We start from the raw sequence: 10953 nt of genomic DNA on the forward strand, positions 1-10953 counted from the left end.
AAGTAATCCTGGCACCCTCAAATCCAAAGAGATCAGGTAACTCAATGCAAAAAGAGAGCAGAGCTTTAGACCTGAGAGGAACCTGCCCATGACTCTTGGGACTCCACAAGGAAAACAGAAGACCCCCAAAGGAGGGTGTATGTCATCTTTTTCTGTGTTTCTTAAGGGGTCTCAGAGTCATTAGACATTGACTGTAGATAAATTCATATGGTACTGAAGATGGTAAAGAGGATAAAATATGAGGGAATGGTAAAAATAAATGGGAGAACAATTCTTAAAGGAGCCACGTTGGGGAGATTTTAAGCTTTCTAAAAGACCAATATAATTTTACATTTTTTTTTTTTTTTGAGATGGAGTCTGGTTTTGTTGCCCAGGCTGGAGTGCAAGGGCATGATTTGGGCTCACTGCAACCTCCGCCTCCCGGGTTCAAGCAATTCTCTTGCCTCAGCTTCCCAAGTAGCTGGGATTACAGGCACCTGCCACCATGCCCAGCTAATTTTTGTATTTTTAGTAGAGACAGAGTTTCACCATGTTGACCAGGTTGGTCTTGAACTCCCGACCTCAGGCGATCCGCCCGCCTCAGCCTCCCAAAGTGCTGGGATTACAGGCGTGAGCCACCGTGCCCAGCCAATTTTACATTTCTCTCTGCAAAATTATACCAACAAGAAAGGAGGCAAACAAAAAGATCAAAATTAAGCTTTCTGAGCATAGAGATATTTAAATTTTTTTTTTCAAATCTCTTTATATTTTATTTTAGTCAGGACAAACAGTTGATATTTCTGGCTTTCGAACTTAGCATCCCAAATGACTCACCAAAACCAACCAGACTTAACCAAGGTTATGATTTCTGCAAGGATGCATGTGGTATCCACAAAGAAATACAAAGTAGTCCTCACAAGATCCAGAACCACCCAAAGACAGCTCAAAGAAAGAACAGTTTTGCTAGCTGCAAATAGGGCACAACCTACATCTGTCCATTCATATTTTCTAGAGTCTCACCTTCTCAGTGGAGCATCTGCACACAAAGGCCCAAAAGCCCTGTGTGGCCCTTAGGTCCTTGGTTCCCTTGACTGTGGTTTCCAGAAAAACAAAGTGGCTTAGGTATCCTGCTTATGGGACAAAACCTGTATAATGGTAGATACTTGGTGTTGTAAAAGCTGATTAGGCAGGCTACCAAACACTATGAAAAATAAATGTAAGCAATTCAGTAGAAGGGGAATATTGCTGTAATAAAGTTTTGCACTGCTGGATATTGGCAAAGGATGAAAGAGCATCTGTCACTGTGTGGTCAGTCTAACTAGTGAGAAACAACTGCTGAGAATGTATAAATTCTGCCAATGTGTAGCCCTCAGAAACAAAGCTACCCAGAACCTCAAACACTGGTCAACCCTGAATGACAAATGTTCATTCATCCATATTTCAAAGGTGTTGAAAGTGTCAACTCCTAGATTCCTGTTCATCCCTTCTCTTGTAAGTTAACTAGCCATTGGGTAGTAGTGAAAAACAATTCAGAAATTCATTTATTGCTTTTCAACTCCCTTTCCAAATGTTTAATTTTTAAATGGAAATTTGGTTCATTTTAGGTATTTTCATATGAAAATAGGGATTGAGCTTTGCTCACTAGGTAGAACTGTGGAAGTCTAAAATAGCTGTGAACTGGAAAACATTTTGTGATGTTTATAGTCACTTAAGTTCTTTTATGAAAACAAAACAATAAGCACTATAAGTAAAGGACATTTGTTTTGAATGCATACAGGATGTGGTTTTGAACTTGAATTTGTTGCTTACTATGTTTATTCTAAAAACTGACCAGTGTTCTTGATAACCACCTGAGCATTTAAAGCATTTTTTCCCAAAGGAAAGGAGGTCCACTAAAGACATATTAATTTAAAACAATGCTTTAGGCTGGGCATGGTGACTCACGCCTGTAATCCTAGCAAATGGGGAGTTGAGACAGGAGGATCGCCTAAGTCCAGGAGTTCAAGACCAGCCTGGGAAACACGGTGAAACTCCATCTCTACAAAATACAAAAATTAGCCCACATCGTGGCACCTGCCTGTAGTCCCAGCAACTCAGAAGGCTGATGTGAGAGGATCCCGTAAGTCCAGGGAGGTGGAGGCTGCAGCGAACCATGATCCCATCACTACACTTCAGCCAGGGTGACAGAGTGAGATGCTGTCTCAAAAATAAAGAAAGAAAATAAAATAATGCTTTAAGCCGGGCGCAGTGGCTCACGCCTGTAATCCCAGTACTTTGGGAGGTCGAGACGGGCAGATCAGGAGGTCAGGAGATCGAGACCATCCTAGCTAACACGGTGAAACCCCGTCTCTACTAAAAATACAAAAAATTAGCTGGGCGTGTTGGCGGGCGCCTGTAGTCCCAGCTACTCGGGAGGCTGAGGCAGGACAATGGCATGAACCCAAGAGGCGGAGCTTGCAGTGAGCCAAGATTGCGCCACTGCACTCCAGCCTGGGCGACTGAGCGAGACTCCGCCTCAAAAAAAAAAAATGCTTTAAACGCTACATGCCTGTTATTTTGAAGCCTCTTTAAAATTAAGCAGTAGTGAATTATGGAGAGTGTATATTTCTGATTTATTTACTAAGTCAGTTTTCTAGCCAATGAAACTGAAGTTGCAGATATACTCATTTCACTGTGATTAAGTAATCAGTTAAATACCAATTATTCCTTGTTAAAATAACTTTTAATTTATTTGAGGAAAGAAAGAAATATTACCATCTTACAGTTTAATTTGTCAACTATTCCTTTAATTCACAAAGCAAATGTTTAAATAATAAATAAATAAATCTAGCATTCACCTTATAAAAGAATGACAATGATTGATTATAAGTACAGAATAATCACTTCATCAAAACCAAGAGTTCTTTGGTGATACTCAGAAAGTGACGTTGCCAGATAAAACAACCCAAACATAATCTAAGTTCAGGGAATTCATGGCAAACACATTTATTTAAAACCTCTGGGTCAGCTGTTTCAAATATCAGAAACCAGAAAGTATGCCCATTGTCATAGTCTTTTTGTGCTGCTGTAACAAAATACCACAGATTAGGTAATTTATAAAAAATAGAAGTTTATTTCTCACAGTTTGGGAGGCCAAGATGCCCAAGATCAAGGCATTGGCACATGGTGTCTGATAAGAACTTTCTTACCACATCTTCACATGGCAGAAGTTGGAATGGCAAGCCAGCAAATCTCTTTTAAAAAGGCCTTAATCTTGGCAACGTGGGCTCTTTTTTGGTTCCACGGGAACGTTAAAGTAGTTTTTCCAATTCTGTGAAGAAAGTCATTGGTAGCTTGATGGGGATGGCATTGAATCTGTAAATTACCTTGGGCAGTGTGGCCATTTTCACGATATTGATTCTCATGAGCATGGAATGTTCTTCCATTTGCTTGTGTCCTCTTTTATTTCGTTGAGCAGTGGTTTGTAGTTCTCCTTGAAGAGGTCCTTCACATCCCTTGTAAGTTGGATTCCTAGGTATTTTATTCTCTTTGAAGCAATTGTGAATGGGAGTTCACTCATGATTTGGCTCTCTGTTTGTCTGTTATTGGTGTATAGGAATGCTTGTGATTTTTGCACATTGATTTTGTATCCTGAGACTTCACTGAAGTTGCTTATCAGCTTAAGAAGATTTTGGGCTGAGACGATGGGGTTTTTTAGATATACAATCATGTCACCTGCAAACAGGGACAATTTGACTTCCTCTTTTCCTAATTGAATACCCTTTATTTCTTTCTCTTGCCTGATTGCCCTGGCCAAAACTTCCAACACCATCTTGAATAGGAGTGGTGAGAGAGGGTATCCCTGTCTTGTGCCAGTTTTCAAAGGGAATGCTTCCAGTCTTTGCACATTCAGTATGATATTGGCCATGGGTTTGTCATAAACAGCTCTTATTATTTTGAGATATGTCCCATCAATACCTAGTTTATTGAGAGTTTTTAGCATGAAGGGCTGTTGAATTTTGTCAAAAGCCATTTCTGCATCTATTGAGATAATCATGTGGTTTTTGTCTTTGGTTCTGTTTATATGATGGATTACAGTTATTGATTTGCATATGTTGAACTAGCCTTGCATCCCAGGGACGAAGCACACTTGATCATGGTGGATAAGCTTTTTGATATGCTGCTGGATTCGGTTTGCCAGTACTTTATTGAGGATTTTTGCATCAATGTTCATCACGGATATTGGTCTAAAATTCTCTTTTTTTGTTGTGTCTCTGCCAGGCTTTGGTATCAGGATGATGCTGGCCTCATAAAATGAGTTAGGGAGGATTCCCTTTTTCTATTGCTTGGAATAATTTCAGAAGGAATGGTACCAGTTCCTTTTTGTACCTTTGGTAGAATTTGGCTGTGAATCCTTCTGGTCCTGGACTTTTTTTGGTTTGTAGGCCATTAATTATTGTCTCAATTTCAGAGCCTGTTATCGGTCTATTCGGGGATTCAACTTCTTCCTGGTTTAGTCTTGGGAGGGTGTATGTGTCCAGGAATTTCTCCATTTCTTCTAGATTTTCTGGTTTGTTTGCATAGAAGTGTTTATAGTATTCTCTGATGGTAGTTTGTATTTCTTTGGGATCAGTGGTGATATCCCCTTTATCATTTTTTATTGCATCTATTTGATTCTTCTCTCTTTTCTTCTTTATTAGTCTTTCTAGCGGTCTATCAATTTTGTTAATATTTTCAAAAAACCAGCTCCTGGATTCATTGATTTTTTGAAGGGTTTTTTGTGTCTCTATCTCCTTCAGGTCTGCTCTGATCTTAGTTATTTCTTGCCTTCTGCTAGCTCTTGAATGTGTTTGCTCTTGCTTCTGTAGTTCTTTTAATTGTGATGTTAGGGTGTCAATTTTAGATCTTTCCTGCTTTCTCTTGTGGGCATTTAGTGCTATCAATTTCCCTCTACACATTGCTTTAAATGTGTCCCAGAGATTCTGGTATGTTGTCTTTGTTTTCATTGGTTTCAAAGAACATCTTTATTTCTGCTTTCATTTTGTTATGTACCTAGTAGTCATTCAGGAGCAGGTTGGTCAGTTTCCATGTAGTTGAGTGGTTTTGAATGAGTTTCTTAATCCTGAGTTTTGATTTGATTGCACTGTGGTCTGAGAGACAGTTTGTTATAATTTCTGCTCTTTTACATTTGCTGAGGAGTGCTTTATTTCCAACTATGTGGTCAATTTTGGAATAAGTGTGATGTGCTGAGAAGAATGTATATTCTGTTGATTTGGGGTGGAGAGTTCTGTAGAGGTCTATTAGGTCCGCTTGGTGGAGAGCTGAGTTCAATTCCTGGATATCCTTGTTAACTTTCCATCTTGTTGATCTGTCTAATGTTGACAGAGGGGTGTTAAAGTCTCCCACTATTATTGTGTGGGAGTCTAAGTCTCTTTGTAGGTCTCTTAGGACTTGCTTTATGAATCTGGGTGCTCCTGTATTGGGTGCATATATATTTAGGATAGTTAGCTCTTCTTGTTGAATTGATCCCTTTACCATTATGTAATGGCCTTCTTTGTCTCTTTTGATCTTTGTTGGTTTAAAGTCTGTTTTATCAGAGACTAGCATTGCAACCCCTGCTTTTTTGTTGTTTTCCATTTGCTTGGTAGATCTTCCTCCATCCCTTTATTTTGAGCCTATGTGTGTCTCTTCACATGAGATAGGTCTCCTGAATACAGCACACTGATGGGTCTTGACTCTTTATCCAATTTGCCAGTCTGTGTCTTTTAATTGGAGCATTTAGCCCATTTACATTTAAGGTTAGTATTGTTATGTGTGAATTTTATTGTGTCATTATGATGTTAGCTGGTTATTTTGCTCATTAGTTGATGCAGTTTCTTCCTAGCCTCGATGGTCTTTACAATTTGTCATGTTTTTGCAGTGGCTGCTTCCTGTTGTTCCTTTCCATGTTTAGTTCTTCCTTCAGGAACTTTTGTAGGGCAGGCCTGGTGGTGACAAAATCTCTCAGCATTTGCTTGTCTGTAAAGGATTTTGTTTCCCCTTCACTTATGAAGCTTAGTTTGGCTGGATATGAAATTCTGGGTTGAAAATTCTTTTCTTTAAGAATGTTGAATATTAGCCCCCACTCTCTTCTGGCTTGCAGAATTTCTGCCAAGAGATCCGCTGTTAGTTTGATGGGCTTCCCTTTGTGGGTAACCTGACCTTTCTCTCTGGCTGCCCTTAACATTTTTTCCTTCATTTCAACTTTGGTGAATCTGACAATTATGTGTCTTGGAGTTGCTCTTCTCGAGGAGTATCTTTGTGGCATTCTCTGTATTTCCAGAATTTGAATGTTGACCTGCCTTGCTAGGTTTGGGAAGTTTTCCAGGATAACATCCTGAAGAGTGTTTTCCAACTTGGCTCCATTCTTCCCGTCACTTTCAGGTACACTGATCAGATGTAGATTTGGACTTTTCACATAGTCCCATATTTCTTGGAGGCTTTGTTCATTTCTTTCTACTCTTTTTTCTCTAAACTTCACTTCTCACTTCATTTCTTTCATTTGATCTTCAATCACTGATACCCTTTCTTCCAGTTGATTGAATCGGCTACTGAAGCTTGTGCATGCATCACGTAGTTCCCGTGCCATGGCTTTCAGTTCCATCAGGTCATTTAAGGTCTTCTCTACACTGTTTATTCTAGTTAGCCATTTGTCTAATCTTTTTTCAAGGTTTTTAGCTTCTTTGCAATGGGTTCGAACATCCTCCTTTAGCTCAGAGAAGTTTGTTATTACCAATTGTCTGAAGCCTACTTCTGTCAACTTATCAAAGTCATTCTCCATCCACCTTTGTTCCGTTGCTGGCAAGGAGCTGCATTCCTTTGGAGGAGAAGAGGTGCTCTGATTTTTAGAATTTTCAGCTTTTCTGCTCTGGTTTCTCCCCATCTTTGTGGTTTTATCTACCTTTGGTCTTTGATGATGGTGATGTACAGATAGGGTGTTGGTGTGGATGTCCTTTCTGTTTGTTAGTTTTCCTTCTAACAGTCAGGACCCTCAGCTGCAGGTCTGTTGGAGTTTGCTGGAGGTCACTCTAGACCCTGTTTGCCTGGGTATCACCAGCGGAGGCTGCAGAACAGAATATTGCACAACAGCAAATGTTGCTGCCTGATCCTTCCTCTGGAAGCTTTGTTTCAGAGAGGCACCCAGCTCTATGAGGTGTCAGTCAGCCCCTACTGGGGGGTGTCTCCCAGTTAGGCTACTCGGGGGTCAGAAACCCACTTGAGGAGGCAGTCTGTCCGTTCTCAGATTTCAAACTCTGCTGGGAGAACCACTACTCTCTTCAAAGCTGTCAGACAGAGATGTTTAATTCTGCAGAAGTTTCTACTGCCTTTTGTTCAGCTATGCTCTGCCGCCAGAGGTGCAGTCTAGAGGCAGGCAGGCAGGCCTCCTTGCACTGTGGTGGGATCCACCCAGTTCGAGCTTCCTGGCCGCTTTGTTTACCTACTCAAGCGTCAGCAATAGCGGATACCCCTCCCCCAGCCTCGCTGCTGCCTTGCAGTTCGATCTCAGACTGCTGTGCAAGCGGTGAGTGAGGCTCCGTGGGCGTGGGACCCTCCGAGCCAGGCCTGCGATAAAATTGCCTGGTCTGCCATTTGCTAAGACCACTGGAAAAGTGCAGTATTAGGGTTGGCATGTCCCGATTTTCCAGGTACCATCTGTCATGGCTTTCCTTGGCTAGGAAAGGGAATTCCCCAACCCCCTGTGCTTCCCAGGTGAGGCAATGCCCCACCCTGCTTCAGTTCACACTCTATGGGCTGCACCCACTGTCCAACAAGCCCCAGTGAGAAGCTGGAGGCATCATGCTACCTGACTTCAAACTATACTACAAGGCTACAGTAAGCAAAACAGCGTGGTACTGGTACCAAAACAGAGATATAGACCAATGGAACAGAACAGAGCCCTCAGAAATAATACCACACATCTACAACCATCTGATCTTTGACAAACCTGACAAAAACAAGAAATGGTAAAAGGATTCCCTATTTAATAAATGGTGCTGGGAAAACTGGCTAGCCATATGTAGAAAGCTGAAACTGGATCCCATCCTTACTCCTTATACAAAAATTAATTCAAGATGGATTAAAAACTTAAATGTTAGACCTAAAACCATAAAAACCCTAGAAGAAAACCTAGGCAGTACCATTCAGGACATAGGCATGGGCAAGGACTTCATGACTAAAACACCAAAAGCAATGGCAACAAAAGCCAAAATAGACAAATGGGATCTAATTAAACTAAAGAGCTTCTGCACAGCAAAAGATACTACCATCAGAGTGAACAGGCAACCTAAAGAATGGGAGAAAATTTTTACAATCTACCCATCTGACAAAGGGTTAGTATCCAGAATCTATAAAGAACTTAAACAAATTTACAAGAAAAAAATCAAACAACCATATCAAAAAGTTGGTGAAAGATATGAACAGACAATTCTCAAAAGAAGACATTTATGCAGCCAAAAGACACATGAAAAAATGCTCATCATCACTGGTCATCAGAGAAATGCAAATCAAAACCACAATAAGATACTATCTCACACCAGTTAGAATGGCGATCATTAAAAAGTCAGGAAACAACAGGTGCTGGAGAGGATGTGGAGAAGTAGGAACACTTTTACACTGTTGGTGGGACTGTAAACTAGTTCAACCACTGTGGAAGACAGTGTGGCAATTCCTCAAGGATCTAGAACTAGAAACACCATTTGACCCAGCCATCCTAGTACTGGGTATATACCCAGAAGATTACAAATCATGCTGCTCTAAAGACACATGCACATGTATGTTTATTGTGGCCCTATTCACAGTAGCAAATACTTGGAACCAACCGAAATGTCCATCAACGATAGACTAGATTAAGAAAATGTGGCACATATACACCATGGAATACTATGCAGCCATAAAAAGGATGAGTTCATGTCCTTTGTAGGGACATGGATGAAGCTGGAAACCATCATTCTGAGCAAACTAACTCAAGGACAGAAAACCAAACACCGCATGTTCTCACTCATAGGTGGGAATTGAACAATGAGAATACTTGGACACAGGGTGGGGAACATCACACACCGGGGCCTGTCGTGGGGTGGGGGGAAGGGGGAGGGATAGCATTAGGAGATATACATAATGTTAATGGACGAGTTAATGGGTGCAGCACACCAACACGGCACATATATACATAAGTAAAAAATCTGGACATTGTGCACATGTACCCTAGAACTTAAAATATAATTTAAAAAAAGAAAAAAAAAGGCCTTAATTCCATTAATGAGGAAGAAGCCCTCATTGCCAATTCACTTCTTAAAGACCCCAACTTTTAATACTATCCATTGGCAACACCTGAATTTTGGAGGGGACACATTCATACCATAGCACCCGTGTTACTGATTTAATCCCTACCCTTCACAATATACTCTGATATTATTTCACATTCTTTTTAAAAAAATTATATCTTTTTACCTAGAAATATGTTGAAAAAATACATGAAACATAAATGAACAACTTAATTAAAATTATAAGCAAGCATTCATGGAATTACCACCAAGGTGAAGAAATAAAAACGTGCCTTGAACATTGTAATTTTAATTAACACTCTTTACCTAATATATAAGGGACTGTAAACAACTATGGAAAAATACACATTATTTGTAAGTATATATGAAATATTTATGTTTGGCCATAAAGCAAGTCTCAACAAATTTCAAAGACTTAAAATCCTACAGAACATATTATCTAATCACTATAATCAAGCTAGAAATGAGTATAATAGTAACTAAAATATTTTTCTAAAATTGGACATTAAACGATGTTGTCCTAAGTTGTCCATGGTCCAATAAAGGAACCACATGAAAATTAGAAAATAATTTAAAGTGCATGTTAATGAAAATATAGCACCTTAAAACTATGCTTGGAGAAAAATTAATAGTTTTAAGTACGTCTATTAGAAGAGAAAAAAGTCTAAAAACCAACAATGTAAGCATCATTTTCAAGAAGATCAAAAAAGACAGCAAGTAAACCTAATTAGAAGAAAATAATAAAGATAAAATTAGAAATCAGTGCAATAGTTAACAAATATATCTAAACATTTGGCATCTTACATGTCTAATAAATTGATTAATGCCTGGAAACACTAATCAAGAAGAAAGGTTCAATACAAGGACTAAAATGGGAAACATCACAACAGATTCTATAGACATTAAATACAATAACCATGTGTGATATACAAACCATGTTATGATAATAAGTTTTAAAAGTATGAAATGGATACATTCCCTGAAAAGTCAACTTAGCAGAACTGATACAAGAAGAAATTGAGTTATCTTAATACTACTATTTGTATTAAATAAACTGAATCTATCACTAAAAAGTAAACCCATCCACAAGAAAATGCTAGCTCAGATTACTTCACTGAAACATCTTCCAACATTTAAGGAAGAAATAGTACCAGTCTTATAAAAACACTGCTAAAGAACTCTAGTTCCCAAGTCATTTTATGAGGTCAGCATAGTCTTAATACCAACATCTGACAAAGGTACTACAAAAAAAGAATACCATAAATCAAAATATTTCATTAACCTAGATAAGAAATTCTAAACAAATTATTTCAGAAATCAAAATCAGCAATTTTAAAAAAGAGTAATATGTCATTAACAGGGTTTACTACTGATATTTTATCTTCTTGGTCTATGAGTTCTTGAAATTAGTGTTAAAATTTCCAGCCAGATGATTGTGAATATTTATTTTTCTCTTTATACTCTGCCAGTCTTTGCTTTATATATTTTGAGGTTATGTTTTCAGGTACATTCAAATTTAAAATTGCTTTTATCTTCTTACTGAATTGACCTTTTATCATTATGAAATACCTCTTTAAGTTTCTTTATTGTTCTTGCTGTGAAGCGTTCTTTGTCTGGTAGGTATATAGCCACAAAAATCTGTCTTCTCTATAGATAGACAATAAATGTTCTGCCT

The sequence above is a fragment of the Homo sapiens genome, chromosome 8 (genome assembly GCF_000001405.40).
Source record: "Homo sapiens chromosome 8, GRCh38.p14 Primary Assembly".
Taxonomy (NCBI): Eukaryota; Metazoa; Chordata; class Mammalia; order Primates; family Hominidae; genus Homo; species Homo sapiens.